Source organism: Homo sapiens, chromosome 21 (assembly GCF_000001405.40).
Source record: "Homo sapiens chromosome 21, GRCh38.p14 Primary Assembly".
Lineage (NCBI taxonomy): Eukaryota > Metazoa > Chordata > Mammalia > Primates > Hominidae > Homo > Homo sapiens.
The window spans coordinates 45,798,236-45,819,587 of record NC_000021.9 but is presented as its reverse complement, the minus strand read 5'-3'; the positions used below and the strand labels follow the sequence as shown (position 1 = coordinate 45,819,587).

The following is a 21,352-nucleotide window of genomic DNA, read 5'->3' as shown; positions in this document are numbered from 1 at the left end:
TTCCATTTTCCACTCTAGAAACCAGATGGACTCTGGGGACAACAGTGGCTGCCGGCCTCGGCCTTGGGGTGCCCAACGGCAGTGTCGTGCCAGGTGTGGTCTCTGCACCTGCATCCGCTTACTTGATGAACATGCCCTTCATCCCGTCTGTAAAGAGGATCAAAATTAGACTGTGTGTTCTTGGGAGAAGAGCAAATACATAACCAGCGCTTTCCCTCAGAGCTAAGGGAGCCCTTCCTGCTCTGTCACAGGACAGTCTTCAGGGACTCCGACTGCTTTGTTTAGGTTTTATTTTTTAGAGCAGCAAACTGAGCACAAAACACAGAGATTTCCTATATACCCCCATCCCCCACGGCCCATCCCCCACAGCCCGCCACCAGAGCAGTACATGAGTCACAACCAAACCCATGTGGGCACATCACCACCCCCCAGGTCCAGAGTTCACAGCAGGGCTCACGCTCGGTGCTGTACTCTGTGGTTTGGGCAAATGTGTAATGACACGCATCCACCATTACAGCATCACCCGGAGTATTTTCCCTGTAGTAAAAGTACTCTGTGATCCACCTACACATCCATCTCTCCGCCCAACTCTTGGCAACCACTGATCTTTATACTATTTTTATAGTTTTGTCTTTTCCAGAATGTCATATAGTTGGAATCGTATAGCATGCAGCCTTTTCAGGCTGGCCTCTTTCACTAAGTAACACGCATTCAAGGTTCCTCCGCATCACTTCATGGTTTGACAGCTCATTTCTTTGTAGTGCTGAATCATATTCCACTGTCTGGATGCACCACTGGTGTATTCATTTGCCTACTAAAGGATGTCTTGGTTGCTTCCAAGTGTTGGCAATGATAAACAAAGCTGCTATAAACATCTGTGTGCAGGTTGTTGTGTAGGCTGAAGTTTTCAAATCCTTTGAGTAAATACCAAGGAGCATGACTAATAGATCTCACGGTTAGAGAGATTTTAGTTTGCAAAGTGATGCAACCACTTGGGAAGGTAGTTTGGCAGTTTCTTACAAAACTGTGGCAGTTTCTTACAAAACATTCTGCAAATGGCAAAACTATAGTGACAATAAAAACATGAGTGGTTGCCAGGGGCTTCAGGGACGGGAGGAGTGAGTACGTGAAGCGCATGGGGGCAGTGGAGCTCTTCTGTATGACACAGTAATGACAGGGACACGTGTCACTGGACACTTGTCAAAACCTGTGTTCAACACAGTGAGCCCCAATGCAAACTATGACCATCCGTGAATAACAATGAACCAGGCCGGCGCGGTGGCTCACACCTGTTATCCCAGCACTTTAGGAGGCCGAGGCGGGCAGATCATGAGGTCAGGAGATCGAGACCATCCTGGCTAACAAGGTGAAACCCCGTCTCTATTAAAATACAAAAAATCAGCCAGGCTTGGTGGCACGCACCTGTAGTCCCAGCTACTCGGGAGGCTGAGGCAGGAGAATGGTGTGAACCCGGGAGGTGGAGGTTGCAGTGAGCCAAGATCGCACCACTGCACTCCAGCCTGGGCGACAGTGCGAGACTCTGTCTCAAAAAATAATAATAATAATGTACCAATATTGGTTCATTGACTGTACCACACTTGAGGCAAGATGTACGTAACAGGAGAAGCTCTGTATGAGGGGAGGAGGTGGCACGCTCTATACTTTCCAATAATTTTTCTGTATTGTAGAATACAATTGCCCTAAAACATAAAGACTATTAACTTTTCAAAAGTGAAATAAATCCTGAGTTCATAAGGATATCATCAACTGAAAATGGAAACCACAAGGTTTTGGATTTTGATTCCAACCATGAAGGAGTAAGGACTTATGATCCCACAGTAAAAACCTTAAGAATTGGACAGAAATAAGAAGCAAGTGTGTTCGAGCATTGCACAGCAGGGTGCAGGACTGTGATCTTTCACCCGGCGGAGACACACGCTGAGCTCCTCGCCGGCTGCTTTCTAGCTGCGTCCACTGTCAAGTTGCTGCTCACGGCAGTGCAGCACACACACAAGCTGCTGCCTCGCTGGGGGGCTGAGGACAAAAGGCAAGCATGGGGGCTGCGGCAGCAGCTGGAATATGGGAGATGGGGACAGCAGAGGCAAGAGCTAAGAGGAGACGGGGCCCCCAAACTGCAGGAAGATGTTGGCCAAATACTATGCTGTGCACGCAAGGACTCCATGAGGAATGGCAGAGAGAGACAGAACTACTGGGGAGTATGAGGTGAACAGACACGCTAAATGTCATGTGGTACCACGAGGCGGGGACTGCTCACAGCCACAGTGGAGGCCCCTCACTCAGCATCCAGGGTGTTCACTTGAGACCCATGAAAGGCTACACCTTAGGAGGAGGACAACGTTAAGTTCTAGAGGAAGGGATAGTGAAGACTTTCCTTGACAAAGTTCGACCGAGCCATGACATGAAGTTTCGGTAAATTAGATGCCTGCAGAAATAAAAACCAAAAACAACAAACACAACACCCCAAATTCTTAACAGCGTAGCATATATAGTCACGTGCCACACAACGGCATTTCAGGCAACAACAGACGTGCCATATACCACAGCCGTCCCTTAAAATTAGAATGGAGCTGAAAAGTCCCATCACCCTGCAACGCTGTGGCCTCCTTAGGAAGGAGTGCAGCTGGCTCCCCCCACGCCTGTGGTGATACTGGTGTAAACTCACCTGCTGCCCTGCCAGTCACATCAGAGCGTAACTCGTACAATTACTTACAATAGTAATACCTGACGATGATAATAAACGATGGTGTTACTGGTTTGTGTATTTACTATACTATATTTTTACCATTATTCTAGTGTACTCCTTCTATTTATTAAAAAAAAAAAAGTTAACATAGAACAGCCTCAGTCAGGTCTCTCAGGAGGTGTCAAGAAGCAGGCACTGTGATCACAGCAGAGGACAGCTCCACGCCTGTTACTGCCCCTGAGGACCTTCCAGCGGGACAAGGCGTGGAGGTGGAAGACAGTGGCATGCACGATTCTGACCCTGTGCAGGCCTAGGCTAAAGTGTGTGTGTGTGTCTCAGTTTTTAACAAAAGGGGAGGGGAGGGGAGGGGAGGGGAGGGGAGGGGGAAGGGGAGGAGGAGGGGGAGGAGGGAGAGGGAGGGGAGGGGCAGGGGACGGGGAGGGGGAAGGGGAAGGGGATCTTAAACATGAAAAATTCTTATAAAAACAAAGAAAATATTTTGGCGTAGCTGCATACAATGTGTTTGTGTTTTAAGCTAAGCGTTATTACAAAAGAGTCAAAAGTTAAAAAATAAATCTAAAGGTTTATAAAGCAAAAAAGTTAGAGTAAGCTAAGGTTAATTTATTATTGAAGAAATAAATTTTGTTATATCATAAATTTAGCATATCCCAAGTGTACAGTACTTATGAAGTCTACAGCAGTGCACAGTAATGTCCTGGCCTTCAGATTCACTCATCACTCACTCACCCACCACTCACCACTCACTCACCACTCACCACTCACTCACCACTCACCACTCATCACTCACCACTCACTCATCACTCACTCACCACTCACCACTCACTCACCACTCACCACTCACTACTCACCACTCACTCACCACTCACCACTCACTCACCACTCACCACTCATCACTCACTACTCACCACTCACTCATCACTCACCACTCACTCACCACTCACTCATCACTCACCACTCACCCATCACTCATCACTCACTCACCACTCACCACTGACTCACCACTCACCACTCACTCATCACTCACCACTCACTCACCACTCACCACTCACTCACCACTCACTCATCACTCACCACTCACCACTCATCACTCACCACTCACTCATCACTCACTCACCACTCACCACTCACTCACCACTCACCACTCATCACTCACTACTCACCACTCACTCACCACTCACTCACCACTCACTCATCACTCACCACTCACCACTCACCACTCACTCACCACTCACCACTCATCACTCACTACTCACCACTCACTCATCACTCACCACTCACTCACCACTCACCACTCACTCACCACTCACCACTCATCACTCACTACTCACCACTCACTCATCACTCACCACTCACTCACCACTCACTCATCACTCACCACTCACCCATCACTCATCACTCACTCACCACTCACCACTCACCACTGACTCACCACTCACCACTCACTCATCACTCACCACTCACTCACCACTCACCACTCACTCACCACTCACTCATCACTCACCACTCACCACTCATCACTCACCACTCACTCATCACTCACTCACCACTCACCACTCACTCACCACTCACCACTCATCACTCACTACTCACCACTCACTCACCACTCACTCACCACTCACTCATCACTCACCACTCATCACTCACCACTCACTCATCACTCACTCACCACTCACCACTCACTCACCACTCACCACTCACTACTCACCACTCACTCACCACTCACCACTCACTCACCACTCACCACTCACTCACCACTCACCACTCACTCATCACTCACCACTCACCCATCACTCATCACTCACTCAACACTCACCACTCACCACTCATCACTCACTCACCACTCACTCATCACTCACCACTCACTCACCACTCACTCACCACTCACTCATCACTCACCACTCACCACTCACTCACCACTCATCACTCACTACTCACCACTCACTCATCACTCACCACTCACTCACCACTCATCACTCACCACTCACTCACCAGTCACCACTCATCACTCACCACTCACTCATCATTCACCACTCACTCACCACTCACCACTCACTCACCACTCACCACTCACTCACCACTCATCACTCACCACTCACCACTCACCACTCACTCATCACTCACCACTCACTCACCACTCACCACTCACTCATCACTCACCACTCATCACTCACCACTCACTCACCACTCACCACTCATCACTCACCACTCACTCACCACTCACTCACCACTCACCACTCATCACTCACCACTCACCACTCATCACTCACTCACCACTCATCACTCACCACTCACCACTCATCACTCATCACTCACCACTCACTCACCACTCATCACTCACTCACCACTCATCACTCACCACTCACCACTCACTCACCACTCATCACTCACTCACCACTCATCACTCACCACTCACCACTCACCACTCATCACTCAGTCACCACTCACCACTCACTCACCACTTACCACTCATCACTCACCACTCACCCACCACTCACTACTCACTATTCACCACTCACTCACCACTCACTAGCTCACCACTCACCAGCTCACTCACCACTCACCACTCACTAGCTCACTCACCACTCACCCACCACTCACTCACCCAGAGCAACCTCCAGTCCTGCCAGCTCCATTCATAAATGCCCTACCCAGGTGTGCCATTCTTTATGTTTTATACTGTATTTTTACTTCACCTTTTCTATGTTTCGAAGTGTTTAAACACACAATTGCCACTGTGTCACAACTGCGTACAGTATTCAGCACAGTCATGCACTACACAGCTTTGTAGCCTAAGACCAATAGGCTGTACCATACAGCCTAGGTGTGTAGTGGGCTGCACCAGCTAGGTTTGTGTAAGTCCACACCATGATGTTCACACAGGGAGGAAATTGCCTAACAACACATTTCTCAGCATGTGTCCCTGTCATTAAGCGATGCACGACTATCCAATGAACATCATACAAACAAAAAATACTGCACATATGTAGATGCAGAAAAACATGGTCCAATATCAGAAAACAAATTTAGTCCATAAAAATAAAGAGATGGCAGACACATTGGGGTTATTGGGCAGGTACTTTTAAAGGAGCTATTATAAATTTGTTAGAAAATTAAAGGAAGGCTGGGTGTGGTGGCTCACGCTTGCAATACCAGCACTTTGGGAGGCCAAGGCAGGTGGATCACTTGAGGCCAGGAGTTTGAGACCAGCCTGGCCAACATGGTGAAACCCCATCTCTATTTAAAAAATACAAAAAATAGCCGGGCGTTGTGGCGCATGCCTGTAATCCCAGCTCCTCAGGAGGCTGAGGCAGGAGAATCGCTTGAACCTGGGAGGCAGAGGTTGCAGTGAGCTGAGATCGTGCCACTGCACTCCAGCCTGGGCAACAGAGGGAGACTCCATTTCCAAAAAAGAAAATGAAAGGCAGACTGAACAAACTGAACATAATGAGTGAACTCATCAGAAGATCTAAGGAAGAAAAGGGAAACTATAAAAATGAGCCAACTAGAAATCAAGAAATGAAAAATAAAAATTTCGGAGAAGACAATTCACTGGATGGACTTAGCAGCAGAACACATACTGCATACAAAGCAACCAGGGAACTACAGATCAACAGACGCTATTCAAACTACGCACAGATAGATAAAAAAAAGCTTAAAAATAAAACAACAGAACCTGAGAGACCTGCGTGACAATAGTGAGTGGTCTAAAATATGTTTAACTGGAGTCCCAGAAGAGAAGAAAGACTGAAATGGGAAAAAGTTAAATATGATGGCTAACCATTTTCTAAATTTGATGGCTAGTGTCAATCACACATATAAAGATGCTCAACAAACTCCCATAAAAAAACAGAAGAGAAGAAAACCATATACACACACATTCTAGTCAAACTGCTGAAAATCAGAGACAGAGAAAATTTTCAAAGCAATAGGAAAAAAATACATTGCACAAAGAGAATGAACAGGGTAAGGAATGACCTCTCATCAAAAACAGTGGAAGCCAGAGGCAAAGGAATGACATATTACATATGGGCAAAAAATCCCAAAACCTCTAACCTAAAATTTTAGAGAGAATTTCAAAATGAAGGCAAAATAAAGACATCATCAAAATTATCAATCAATAAAAATGGAGAGAATTCATACCTAGCAGAACTGCACTACAAAAAATGTTCACAGCCGGGCATGGTGGCTCACGCCTGTAATCCCAGCACTTTGGGAGGCCGAAGCGGGCGGATCACCTGAGGCCAGCAGTTCTGGCCAACACGGTGAAACCCGGTTTGTACTAAAAATACAAAAATTAGCCGGGTGTGTTGGTGGGCGTCATCCCAGCTACTCGGGAGGCTGAGGCAGGAGAATCGCTTGAACTCGGGAGGCAGAGATTACAGTGAGCCGAGATGGCACCACTGCACTCCAGCCTGCACAACAGAGCAAGACTCCATCTCAAAAACGACAACAACACAATGTTAAGGGAAAATTTTCAGACTGAAGAAAATGATGCCAGATGGAAACTCAGATCCGTGAGAAAGAGTACAGAGTGTCAAAAACAGAAAACAGTATAAAACCCACACTTTGGGCACATGTTCTCAGGACCTCTCGAGGCTGTGTCATAGCCCATGGTCTTTAACCTTAGCAAAATAAACCTCTAAATTGACTGAGACCTGTACCAGATACCTTCTGGCTTATGATAGCATGTGCAGAAGTTAATTATATGGCAACACGACCTCCCCAAAAAGGAGCAGTTAAATGGAAGTATATTGTTGTAAGGTCCTCATAGTAAATGTGAAAAGGTGTAATATAAGTTTGAGTGAACAATGATAAAATTGTATATTAAAATTTTTAAAACAACAAAAATACAAAGCAGAGCTAAAAGATAAAGAGGAAATAAAATGAAATTCTAAGGAATAACTGATAAATATTAAGGCAGGAAAAGGAAAAGCTATAAAAGAAGAGAGGGACAATTAAAAAACATATAAGAAGAAGGAAGAATAAACTCAACCAAATCAGTTATTACAATAGGTGTAAACAGATTTAACACTCCAGTTAAAAATGTACTGCCAGACAAGATAACAAAAGCACGACTCAAAGCACGTGCTACTTTTAGAGAAACACTTTAAATACAAAGGCACAGACAGTTAAAAGTAAAACAATGAGAAAAAATATGGCATGCAAATACTGATCCTAGCAAGCCAACATGTCTCAATACCAGACAAAGCTGGTGTAAGGACAATGAATATTAGCAGGTAGAAAGGGAAATGTTTCACAATAAAAAAGGGTCAGTTTATCAAGAAGATGTAACAGTCCTAAATGTGTTTGCTGTTTCTGTGGCAAAGGGACTGTGCAGATGTGATGAAGGTCACAGGCCTTGCAATGGCGAGATTATCCTGGATTATCCAGGTGGGGCCACTCTAATCACTTGAGTTCTTAAAAGTGGAGAATCTTTCCAAACTGGGTCCTGTGGCTGACACAGCAGGTGGAGGAGGACTCAGGAGCAGATGAACGGGAGCACTTCTAGAATCTGGAAGAGGCAAGGAGGTGAGTCCTCCCCGTGAGCCTCCAGAAGGGATGCAGCACTGCTGCGGAGAGCCCAGTGGGGCCTCCTGCTGTCGGGGCTCTCATCAGCAGAACTGAAAGGTGATGAGCTTGTGCTGTAAGCCATGGAGTCTGTGGTGATGTTGGAAGGTGGCCACATGTAGCAAATGCAGCAGGAAATAACAAATAGGAATGGAGACTGATGAAAGCACAGCGAACAAACAGTAAACAAAATAAAGAAAAGAAGGTTAATATAAAAATACAAAAAAATGGAAAAACACCTAGACCAAGAGAAAAAGAAAACAAAAATCACAAAAGATATGAAAGACAAGTTGTCAGTACTGATCCGGTAGATATTAAAATGATAATGTGAGATTATTATGATGACCAACTTCACACCAACATATGTATCAGTTTAGATGAAGTGGGGCCATTTTAAAACTACAGCTTCCAAAATTGATACAAACTGTAAAAGGAAATTTGAATATCTCTATAGAAACTAAAAAATGAAAGTTGTTGTCAAATACCTTCCCGACAAGAAGACTCAAGGCACCGGCAAATTCTGTCAAACACATAGAGACATAACAACACCAATCTTACACAAACCCTTTCAGAAAACAGGGAAGAGGGAATAATTCCAAAGTCATTGCGTAAACCAAGCATAACTCTGGTTTTAAAATCTGACACAGAGATGAGAAAAATGAAAGTGTCTCTCATGACCATAGCTATAAAAAATCATTACCAAAATATTAGTGAAAAAAGTCCAAAAATTGGCCGGGCACAGATGGCTCACGCCTATAATCCCAGCACTTTGGGAGACCGAGGTGGGAAGATCGCTTGAGCCCAGGAGTTTGAGACCAGCCTGAGAAATGTGGCAAAACCTCATCTCTATTAAAAAAAAAAAAAATTAGCCAGGCATGATGGTGTACTGTACTCCCTGTACTCCCTGTACACCTGTACTCCCAGCTACTCGGGAGGCTGGGGTGTGAAGACTGCTTGAGCACAGGAGACTGAGACTGCCGTGAGCTGAGATCGTGCCACTGCACTCCAGCCTGGGCCACAGAGCGAGACTCTGTCACACACACTCTCTCACACACACACACACACACACACACACAGAATCGAATCACGACCAAGTAGGGTTTACACCAGGAATGCAAAATTGGTTATATATTGCAAAATCTGGCAATATGTAATTTACCATATTAACATGATAAGGCAGTAAATTATTATTTCAATAGATGCAGAAAAATGCATTTGACAAAATTCAATACTGTGCATAAAACTTCACAATAAATCTTTTTTCTATTAGGCTAAAATTTGCTTTCCAGTGACATCACCCTGATTATTGATGTGCTTGATCCTTCAGAGTCAACTAGTTAGAAACCCTGATACCATCTGCAAAACCCCTTGGCCAAGTAACATGGCATAATCACAGGGGTGATGTCCCACCTTACCAGCAGGTCCCACTCACTCTCAAGAGGATGTGTGTATGCAAGGCTTGTACACCAGAGAGCAGAAGCCTTAGGACCCCCTAGAATTCTGCCCCCCAAACCTCATCAGTTGGCTTCCTGTGAGGGTCTCTGATGGGAGATGATGCAGGGAAGAGGCAGCAGGACAGAGGGCCTTGCCCCGACCCGGATCGCAGCATAGCAGCTGCTGGCATCTGCCGCACTTAGCAGCTGCTGTAGTGGCAGCGGCAGGGGGGAAGCGGGGCAGCTCCTTTTAGGAGAGTCAAGCCCTGCTCAGATCAGCTCCTCCACGTGGATCCAGAGCCGAGCACGATTGTGCTCCCCACGCAGCAGCCGGCCCAGGCTGACAGGCCCCAGCCCAGAACCACCAGCAACTCCAGCCCCAGTGAGCCCCTTCCTCCTCTTGCTCGCACACCCCCTCTTTATCTCCCGTACTCCTCAGCCCTACATCACCTTTCTAATCAACTCTCTGTACTCAACATGCTCTCTTTAAATGCGTGGAGTGGAAATGGTTTTCCTAACTGAACCCTGATGTATAGAGTCATCGAAATAAATTCTAGATAGAGATGGAAATGCAGAAAGATAATTACTACAATAAGTCGTCCAATATTTATATAATTGTGAAATGATACAGGCAGAAAGTCACAAATGAAAAGCGCTCTTAGAAATCACTTTTTTTATACTTTAAGTTCTGGGACACAAGTGCAGAACATGCAGGTTTGTTACACAGGTATACACATGCCATGGTGGTTTGCTGCACCCATCAACCCATTATCTACATTAGGTAGTTCTCCTAATGCTATCCCTTGCCTAGCCCCCCACCCCCCAACAGGCCCTGGTGTGTGATGTTCTTCTCCCTGTGTCCATGTGTTCTCATTGTTCAACTCCCACTTATGAGTGAGAACATGTGGTGTTTGGTTTTCTGTTCTTGCGTTAGTTTGCTGAGAATGATGATTTCCAGCTTCACCCATGTCCCTGCAAAGGACATGAACTCATCCTTTTTTATGGCTGCATAGTATTCCGTGGTATATATGTGCCACGTTTTCTTTATCCAGCCTATCATTGGTGGAAATTTGGGTTGGTTCCAAGTCTTTGCTATTGTGAACAGTGCTGTAATAAATATACACATGCATGTGTCTTTATAGTAGAATGACTTATAATCCTTTGGGTATATACTCAGTAATGGGATTGCTGGGTCAAATGGTATTTCTGGTTCTAGATCCTTGAGGAATCGCCATACTGTCTTCCACAATGGTTGAACTAATTTACACTCCCACCAACAGTGTAAAAGCATTCCTATTTCTCCACATCCCCTCTAGCATCTGCTGTTTCCTGACTTTTTAATGATCGCCATTCTAACTGATGTGAGATGGTATCTCACTGTGGTTTTGATATGCATTTCTCTAATGACCAGTGATGATTAGCTTTTTTTCACGTTTTTTGGCCGCATAAATGTCTTCTTTTGAGAAGTGACTGTTCATATCCTTTGCCCACTTTTTGATGGGGTTGTTTTTTTCTTGTAAACTTGTTTAAGTTCCTTGTAGATTCTGGATATTAACCCTTTGTCAGATGGATAGATTGCAAAAATTTTCTCCCATTATGTAGGCTGCCTGATCACTCTGATGATAGTTTCTTTTGCTGTGCAGAAGCTCTTTAGTTTAATTAGATCCCATTTGTCAATTTTGGCTTTTGTTGCCATTGCTTTTGGTTTTAGTCATAAGTCTTTGCCCATGCCTATGTCCTGAATGGTATTGCCTAGGTTTTCTTCTAGGGTTTTTATGGTTTTAGGTCTTATATGTAAGTCTTTAATCCATCTTGAGTTAATTTTTGTATAAGGTGTAAGGAAGGGGTCCAGTTTCAGTTTTCTGCATATGGCTAGCCAGTTTTCCCAACACCATTTATTAAATAGGGAATCCTTTCCCCACTGCTTGTTTTTGTCAGGTGTATCAAAGATCAGATGGTTGTGGATGTCTGGCATTATATCGGAGGCCTCTGTTCTGTTCCTTTGGTCTATCTATCTGTTTTGGTACCATGCTGTTTTGGTTACTGTAGCCTTGTAGTATAGTTTGAAGTCAGGTAGCATGATGCCTCCAGGTTTTTTTTTTGTTTTGTTTTTGTTTTTTTTGCTTAGAATTGTCTTAGCTATACAGGCTCTTTTTTGGTTCCATATGAAATTTAGAGTAGTTTTTTCTAATTCTGTGAAGTAAGTCAATGGTAGCTTCATGGAGCTAACACTGAATCTATAAATTACTTTGGGCAGTATGGCCACTTTCATGATATTGATTCTTCCTATCCATGAGCATGGAATGTTTTTTCATTTATTTGTGTCCTCTCTTATTTCCTTGAGCAGTGGTTTGTAGTTCTCCTTGAAGAGGTCCTTCACTTCCCCTGTAAGTTGTATTCCTAGGTATTTTATTCTCTTTGTAGCAATTGTGAATGGGAGTTCACTCATGATTTGGCTGTTTGTCTATTATTAGTGTAGAGGAATGCTTGTGATTTTTGCACTTTGATTTTGTATCCTGAGACTTTGCTGAAGTTGCTTATCAGCTTAAGGAGATTTTGGGCTGAGATAATGGGGTTTTCTAAATATACAATCATGTCATCTGCAAACAGAGACAATTTGACTTCCTTTCTTCCTATTTGAATATCCTTTATTTCCTTCTCTTGCCTGATTGCCCTGGCTAGAACTTCCAATACTATGTTGAATAGGAGTGGTGAGAGAGGGCATCCTTGTCTTGTGCCAGTTTTCAAAGGGAATGCTTCCAGCTTTTGCCCATTCGTGTGATATTGGCTGTGGGTTTGTCATAAATAGCAGAAATCAGTTTTGTTTTAAAGCTGACTTTCTTGAAAGGAAAATGGGCAATGCAACACAAATATAAAATTAATGAAAAGCCACAAGGGTTTTTCTAAATCCTGGAGTGTGCAGTGTCCACAGAGAGTGAGTGCTGCATACAGGAGCCAATGACAAGGAGCTCGGAGCATCTGATGAGAAAGAACAAGAGCAAGGCAGGGAGGCCGGCATCTGGAGAGGGCAGAGCCCAGTGCCTCAGTGCTCTGGGTGAGGGGACCAGAAGTGGAATTCTGAATGCAGGCTGCTCCTTGGCCCCAAAGAGATGTTCCGTGGGGTGTGGGGACTCTGCGGCCTGGGTCCCTGGCCCTTTGGGGTCTGCTTTGTGGAGGACTCTTCACTAGAGAGGCCCTGGCTGGTCCCCATGACTCAGCTCCTCATTCTAAAAAAGAACGATGAAATACCCACCTTTCAAGGTTGTGAAAAGTACTCTGTAATTTGCAAAGTGCTACACAAATGAGAGAACTTCAAGCCTTATTTTCCCAGCATAATTCTAGAGTAAAAATACGAGATAAGAAAAGGGGACAGAGAAAAGTAGGAGGACTGCATTGGCCATATTGTTCTGAAGGCATCCAGGGCCACATTGAGCCAGGGTGCGGTTATGTGCCAGTGGATCTGAGAAGAAAGGAGGACTTGGCCCTGTACTCCAGGAAGAACACGTCTCCTGGCCTCACCTCCACTTCCCTTTCTGTGCAGTGAGGGGTAGCTGGCAGCAGCCCTCAGCTCCCACCCTGCTCGAGTCTCTGCATGCACTTGGCCAAAGGGCGGAAAGGCCGCCGTTCCATCCAGCACGGGAGTACAGCCACTTGTCCGCACCAAGCCTGCCACGAGGGTGATTCTGCGATTCTGCAGCCGGGTGGCTTTGCTGGGGTCTTCCACACTCTGTGCAGAGCTGCTGGTCCTCAGACACATCACACCTGCTCTCTGCCCAGTGATAACCCTGGAGGCAGCAATGACTCAGAAGCTGAAGAAAAAACATCCCAACATGACATTCGTGTGGACCGCCCTCTCTAATGCTGAGACACAGCAGCACAAGGAGGCTCCTCCATCTTCTCATGCAATGGGAACCTCACAGACTCCTGGGTGGAGAGGCCTGGACTTCCCCTCATGGCCCGCCCCCCCAGCTCTGCTCTCGCCCTCCTTTCCTCAGGACCATCCGAGTGTGCAGGTGCTAGGAGGGAATGCCACCTTCGCTGCCACAGAAAGACAGGAGCGCGCTTTCCTCAGGACCACTCCAGTGTGCAGCTGCTAGGAGGGGATGTCACCTTTACCACCACAGAAAGACAGGAGCATGCCTGCAAGCTCAGGTGCAGGGATGAGCTGCCAGCAGCAACGGCTGGTCCTTCCAGTCACACTCTCCCTGTGAAAATGTGCTTGCCCCAACTGTTGACACAAAAGCAGACAGGAAGCATTATCTTCAAGGTCCCCTAGCTCGATTTTAGGCACCTGTATGTGCCGTTCTGCCACACTGCCCACAAGGCCTCTGAGCACCTCGTTGGCACCAACCCAGGTGGCCCCACTCTGCTGGTGGGAACCTTGAGGCAGTGGATAAGGGAAGACAGGGGGCTCCAGAAGGAAGGGCTGCCCATGGCCACCTCCGCACGGCCCAGCACACAGGGCAGGTGGGCAAGGGGGGTGCCAAACCCCTGCTTGTTACCAGTCACACCCACCCATAATCTTCCAATTACTTTCCCCCCCAGACACCACCTGGGGGGTTTTCAGCTCCCCCAAGCAAATGACCAGAGAGTCACACAAGAATGCCTCTTCCTATAGAAGGTAGGCTTCCGGGGAACAGCCTTAGACCCTGCCATGGGGGCCAGGCCACAGGGGTGTGGCTGTGGCATAGTGCCCGGCTAGGAAGCGCCATATGTGGTAGCCATGGCCCAAGATGACGATGCCCAGAGTGGCACAGGCCTTCCCACACACGGCCTGGGGCTGCACGGCTCTCCCCACAGCAGGGCTGTGCCATCACCACGGGATCAGGCGGTCACAGCATCCAGGCAGTGGGAAGCCTTTATCTACGTCACTGACACCCTCCCGTGAGGCCCATTTCACAAAAGCACAGGGCCTGCCACGGCAGGGTTAGAATTTCAACCATGCCCAGCTCTGAGCTGGTAAGCCTGACTCCCAGGAACACGGCCTGGCCTTCCTGTGCTGCCTCTCTCGGGGGCAATCCTTCCTTCCCACCCCTCCTGCTTGTGGTGGCAGCAGAAGGACAGGCCCAAGGTGAAAACCGTCATTCACACACAGGAGGTTTCAGAAACTATCTTCATGTGGCTAAAACTGGCCAACACTACAACCCAAGTGACTCCTGAAAGTCACTGTGATTTCAGGAGCCGAATGCCTGGTGCGTGGACACATCAGCAGGACAGCAGGGACTGGGGAAGCAGCAGTCCTGGTAAGGACAACAGAGCCCAGGCAATGGACCAAGGGACACTCAGGGTCAGGGGGGTGCAGAATAAATACAAGTCTTTCATAAGCAAATGCACACATTTTCACCAAACATCTCCCCCAAGACTAGGATCTTCAGTAAGCTCCCCGGCTCATTTCCATGGCTTTTGGTTTTGCCAGTTAATCGTGCTGTTTCACATGGTTTGATATTGTACACCACCTCAAAGCCTTTCAAATAGCTGGAGTAAATCAATATAATCTACATGGATGGTGTGGGCACTAGGAGGCAAAACATTTTATACCATTTTTATTAATAATAAGTTACCAAGATGACAAGATATTGTACCACTAATTCTAAAAACAGAATCCCTCCAAAGGAGTACTGTGAACACGCCAGAGCCTGCAGCACAAAGCCCGGTGCACAGGAGGGAACCAACGTGTAGGTGCCAAGCGAAACAGCAATGGGGTAAAAAACACTACAGCCACGCGGGCAGCAGAGAGGGAGGCGCGGCAGCAGGCAGTGGGCACCTGTGGGCTGGGCCTCCTGTTCCAGGCAGACAGCCACCTCCCCTGGAGGCCCACAACACCACAGATGAGGAAGAGAAGCACCACAGATGTCTCAAGGATGTTCAGTGCCAGGACGCCCCCAAGGCACCTGCACTAAGGTCTAGGCGTCCTTCATCTCAGCGAGGGCACAAGTGAGATACAGCACAGTAACAACATTCATGGGAAGGGACTCAGCAGCCCACCCCAGCAGGACCTGGGCCATCCGGTGCCCTGGCACAGGGTCACCTCCCGAGGCCTGACTATGGCAGCGAGGCCACGGGGAAGCCATGTTCCAGGCTGTCACCATCTGGGTCCTGGAGAAGCTCAGGGGCCTCTTGGAGCCCATACTGCTCCAGGTTCCTCTGGGTTACCCCAGGTTCATGCCCAGCTTGGCAGTGCCCAGGGACCCTGGGGTGGGCATCAGAGCCAAGCACTGTGCAGGGCAGCTCAGCACACCTTCCTGCCCTCAGTGTCCTGTTTGCATTTAAACTTCATGGGAAAGCTCCCGGCACTGGCAGTATAAAACCACCACGGCTTTTTCCCGACCTAACAACAGACTGCAGGATTCTTGGAGAAAGGGTCATCCTTGGGTGGAGAGGCCTGGACTTCCCCTCATGGCCCGCCCCCAAGCTCTGCTCTCGCCCTCCTTTCCTCAGGACCACCCCAGTGTGCAGCTGCTAGGAGGGGATGCCACCTTCACCACCACAGAAAAGAAACAATAAAAACAATAAAAATGGCTGCTGTCATTGACCAAACCATTCTGGGGGTGAAAGGTAAACAAAGGTCAATCTGCTTATTTTAAAGCATGGCCAGCTGCATGTGCAAAAAACACACCAATACCCTTGCATGGCCACTACCCCCAGCAGAAAGGTGGGCTCTGCCACTCAGACTGTAGCCTCTGCCTCTGCTGAGAAAGTGAGGAGGGGACGCACCCACACAGCTGCAGGCACACCAGGCTGGAGGCAGAGACAGGCTGTTTTCTCAAGTTGCTTTGTGACTGACTTCCAACGAATAGATAAAGAATCAGAACAAGTGTTTGCACAACAAAACAATTTTTGTTTTCAAATTATGACTGTACAATGCAGACGGGAAATGTTATTTTTTATTGAAAACAAGAAAAATCATTAAAAAGAACTCAAAGAGATTCAACAGTAAATATATGAGTATCAATGAAAAATGCACCAAGACCTAGTGAGTCGTTTATACACGACAAGGGTTAAAAGCTTTTCCCTCCGTGGCCTGTGTGTGGTTTCCCTAGGGTTAGCCCTGCTCAGGGCCCTCGGGGACCCTTCCCATCCCTGCCTCCTCCCAGCACCAGCCCTGGAGGCCCTGCCTGGGGTCCTTGGGGACACGATGCCCCTCCTGCTCCTGCCTCCCTCAGGGCCTCTCCTCCCCATGAAGGAGAGGAACATCCCAAACACACAATCTGACCTCCTGCCCTGCTTAGAGCCCCACCATCCTCCCCCAGCCCGGTCCTCCTCCTCCGTCAGCCTGTCCCCATCTCTTACGTCTCCCAGGGGCTCCTGTCCCTTCTCCAGCATGGCTCACTTTTGCTCTCAGAGCCGTCTCTGCAGAGCCCTCTGGGCCACGTGCCCTGACACTCACACCACCTTGGGCAGCCCGGGCACAGGACAACGTAGGCACTCAGTAAGTACAATTGTTTTTAATGAACAAGCTAAGAAGAGGCGAGTGAAGGGAGGTGATGCCATCAGGGCTGTCTTGAAAGAGCATCCTGACCATGGAAGACAGGACGCTTCAGGAACACAGCAAGGGGTGGTGCTGACGCAGGGGCCGGACAGCTAGCTCACCCCCAGCCCCAGCACCCAGCTGTGAGCCTCTGCACCCAGCCCACTTGCATGACAGGGCAGAAACAGCGCCCAGCTGCAGAGCCGCTACCAGGAGAATGTGGGCAGAAAGAGCTTGCACTGGGCCAAGGCCTCTGCCCAGGATGGCATCCAAGGGGTCTGAGGGTAAAGGAGGGAGCCCCGCTAACCACCCAGCCCAGAAGTCACTGCTGAATCATGACGATGCCCTCAAGGAAGAGGAGGGGAGACCCCGAGAGCCACAGAGGGACAGTCAGTGTCACAGGACAACCGAGCGGCTCCACTGATGACGCTGAGATGTTCGGGAGGGATGTGCACCATGAGATCACAAACATGATTAACCTGCAGAATCTGATTAAACTGAGTAGATCATGGGGAGTAATTATATGGGTTTGGATCTCCACATACTGTTTTTCTATTTCCACACTGGATTATTTAACCTTGTCTTGCATGCACAAGCCAAATACTTGCTAATGCAACAAATTAGCAAATGCAGTGACAGGATCTGAACAGCACATACTGCCCAGAATTCCTTCCAAAGAATACTGCAGCTAAAGGCAGAAAATGAGCAAAAGGCATATAAGCAGAGTGCATCCAGGAGGATCTACTGAATCAAGTATGTCACAACAAGTGCGGCTGTGAAGGCGGGTCAGTGACCAGCACCTGGCCAGATGCTGTGAAGATGGGTCAGTGACCAGCACCTGGCCAGACGCTGTGGGCATGGCATGGTGGCCCCTCTCTGAAACCCATGTCAAGAAGAGCAAATGTACCAAGGCCATGGAACCTGAGTGTGTCTGTGGCCCTGTCCCTGTGGCTGCCTCAGCTGCCGCCATCTGCTCCTCTGCAGCTCCTTGTGCACCCAGGGGCCCTGCAGCCAGCAGGGAGGGGCCAGCCCAGACACTGGCTGTCTTGTAGGAGGTGGGTAGACAAGGGCAGGACTCAGACAGACTGGCCACCGGGGCTGTGAGTGGGGACAGAGGAGCAGCTAAGGCAAGGCTAGCAGCCAGGGTCCCCACAAGGCTGGCCATCAGAACACTCCAGGGTCCTCATGACACCCCCATCCACACAGGGAAGTGGATGTGACCTTCTCCCACAGGACGCAGTGGCAGTGAGAGCCAGGCTGTGGGTGCTGCAGGTGGCACGACAGGACGGGTGAGTGGGGAAGTCACAGGTGATAGAATGATGGCTGGTGCCATTGCCAGAGTTGGAGAGTGGCCATAGCAGAGCACGTTCCAAGGTCAGAGCGAGTGGGCATGCTGGCAAGAACGGGTGGCCACGCAGAACGGGCAACAAGTCCTGGAGGAGGCGGGAACCCCATGCTCAGGCACCCCATCTCCTGGGAGGATGCAGGGCTGGGAGCAGAAGGAAAGTCACTTGGAGGAGGAGGCGGGAACCCCATGCTCAAACACCCCATCTCCCAGGAGGATGCAGGGCTGGGAGCAGAAGGAAAGTCAGTCATTGGGCACCAGGGCCACACAAACGAGGTCAGGGAAAGACATCCTCCCTCCCGGGCTGTGGCCTAGGCATAGTGAGGCACATGGCCCAGGTGGGAGGGCCACCTCACCCAGGCTCAGGAGGGCACAGGTGTGCACCAGGCTGCATGCGGTGCTTGGCCCAAGGGCCCAGCACGAAGGGGTGGCAGGTGACCAGGGCAGGCAGCTGAGAGCAGAGGGCAGGGCAGGAGGCACCAGCAAGGCTGGTGGTGTTGGGTGGGTTAGAGGCATGGCAGGGAGGGGGCCTCAGGGTCAGGTCAGGCACACACCTCAGGACACGCCCACAACACGCCTGTTTGGAGCCAGTTGGGCTCAGAGTTCAGTGCTGGTAAAGAGCCTCTCCATTTACCCTCAGGTTCCAAGGTCTCTTCCTTTGTCTACAAAGGCGACATCATCTGCACTTCACAGAAGGCCTGGCTCAGGGCGCACAGGCTTGCTCCCACATCCTGCTGGGCTGTGCGAGGGGTAGCCCTGACCTGGACCTGCTGTCTCTGTGGGTGGATCTGCCAGGAGCCTCTGGCTTGGCCCGGTGCTCCCAAGAAAAAGCTGCAAGAGAGGAACTGCTGCCTGGCCCCTCAGCCTGTGCCTCTGGAAGGCCCCACCTGCAGCCATTACTCTGTGCTCCTGCAGCCTCCTCCAAAAAGGCAGCTGCACGGAAGCCAGGCCATGATTCATGAAGAGAGAACAGCACAAGAACCATCACTGGGTGGTTCTCACAGTGAGAGAACAAGCTGTGGGCAGAGGGCGCGGGAGCTGAGAGGACCCTCCCCGACAGCTGTCCAAGCCACCAGCAACCAGGCATTGGAGAGCCCGGTGCCAACCTGGTGAAGCTAGCACAGCCTCTGCCCGCATCAAGGCCTCCTGGGCTCAGCCACAGGGACATCACCTCAAGAGGCTGCTTGTTCTCAGCTCATTATTTTTTAATCATATTCTGCGGCATTAATTTTGTTGTAATTAAAATTCCAGTTTGAGAAAAGCATTTGAGAAACTAAAACAAAGCCCAGTTCCCAGCACCCCAGGCTCTGGGTGGCCCTGCCGTGGACGCGTGCCTGGCCCCTCAGGACCAGGCACGGATACCTTGGCCTGGCCGTCCACCTGGCCTGTGACACCGGGGTCACAGCATCATCTGCCAAAGTCTTGCAGAAGATCTGTTCTGAGGAGAAGGCTGAAGAATTCATTCTGCAGCCCTCCCCCCTTATCCAAGAGGGGTACGTTCCAAGACTCTCAGTGGCTACCTGGAACCATGGACTATACCAAACCCTGTTATAAACTGTCCTATGATAAATTTTAATGTATAAATTAGGTACAGAGGAAGATTAACAATAATAAAACAGAACAATTTTATCAATATGCCATAATAAAAGTTATGTAAATATGGTCTCTCTCTCTCAAGATATCTCACTATACTGTACCATGGGTGACTGAAATCACAGAAAGTGAAACTGTGGACAAAGGGGGACTACTGTACTCATCGGACAACTTGTTATTGTGATATAATTTCAAACCTTGAAAAAAGTGTACAAGCATTAAAAAGAACATCTACATATCCTTTACCTCATTTATCCAATTACTTATATTCCGGCCCATCTGTGTGTCATGAATTCGTCCATGCACACTTTCACTCTCTCTACAGATCCACGCATTCAACCATGTACACATCCATTCACTCTCTCTATGGATCCATGCATTCATCCATGTACGCATTCACCCTCTCTACAGATCCATGCATTCATCCATGTACACATCCATTCACTCTCTCTATGGATCCATGCATTCATCCATGTACGCATTCACTCTCTCTACAGATCCATGCATTCATCCATGTACACATCCATTCACTCTCTCTATGGATCCATGCATTCATCCATGTACGCATTCACTCTCTCTACAGATCCATGCATTCATCCATGTACACATCCATTCACTCTCTCTACGGATCCATGTATTCATCCATGTACGCATTCACTCTCTCTACAGATCCATGCATTCATCCATGTACACATCCATTCACTCTCTCTATGGATCCATGCATTCATCCATGTACACATCCATTCACTCTCTCTACAGATCCATGCATTCATCCATGTACACATCCATTCACTCTCTCTATGGATCCATGCATTCATCCATGTACACATCCATTCGCTCTCTCTATGGATCCATGCATTCATCCATGTACACATCCATTCACTCTCTCTATGGATCCATGCATTCATCCATGTACGCATCCATTCACTCTCTCTATGGATCCATGCATTCATCCATCCATGCATTCACTCTCTCTACAGATCCATGCATTCATCCATGTATGCATCCATTCACTCTCTCTATGGATCCATGCATTCATCCATGTACCCATCCATTCACTCTCTCTACGGATCCATGCATTCATCCATGTACACATCCATTCACTCTCTCTATGGATCCATGCATTCATCCATGTACGCATACATTCACTCTATGGATCCATGCATTCATCCATGTACGCATCCATTCACTCTCTCTATGGATCCATGCATTCATCCATG

At 48.3% G+C, this 21,352-nt stretch overlaps 1 protein-coding gene across 19 annotated transcripts in view, besides 2 other annotated features; it reads right to left on the bottom strand.

Moving 5' to 3' along the window:
* Positions 1 to 21,352, bottom strand: part of PCBP3 (poly(rC) binding protein 3) — a 298,726-nt gene that overhangs the window by 122,863 nt on the left and 154,511 nt on the right.
* Positions 1,580 to 2,079: an enhancer, noted in NCBI's record as "H3K4me1 hESC enhancer chr21:47237423-47237922 (GRCh37/hg19 assembly coordinates)". NCBI's record gives its function as "activates a minimal SCP1, AML or CMV promoter by ChIP-STARR-seq in naive H9 embryonic stem cells {active_cell/tissue: H9 hESC(naive)}" and the evidence as "EXISTENCE:reporter gene assay evidence [ECO:0000049][PMID:30033119]".
* Positions 2,080 to 2,581: an enhancer, noted in NCBI's record as "H3K4me1 hESC enhancer chr21:47236921-47237422 (GRCh37/hg19 assembly coordinates)". NCBI's record gives its function as "activates a minimal SCP1, AML or CMV promoter by ChIP-STARR-seq in naive H9 embryonic stem cells {active_cell/tissue: H9 hESC(naive)}" and the evidence as "EXISTENCE:reporter gene assay evidence [ECO:0000049][PMID:30033119]".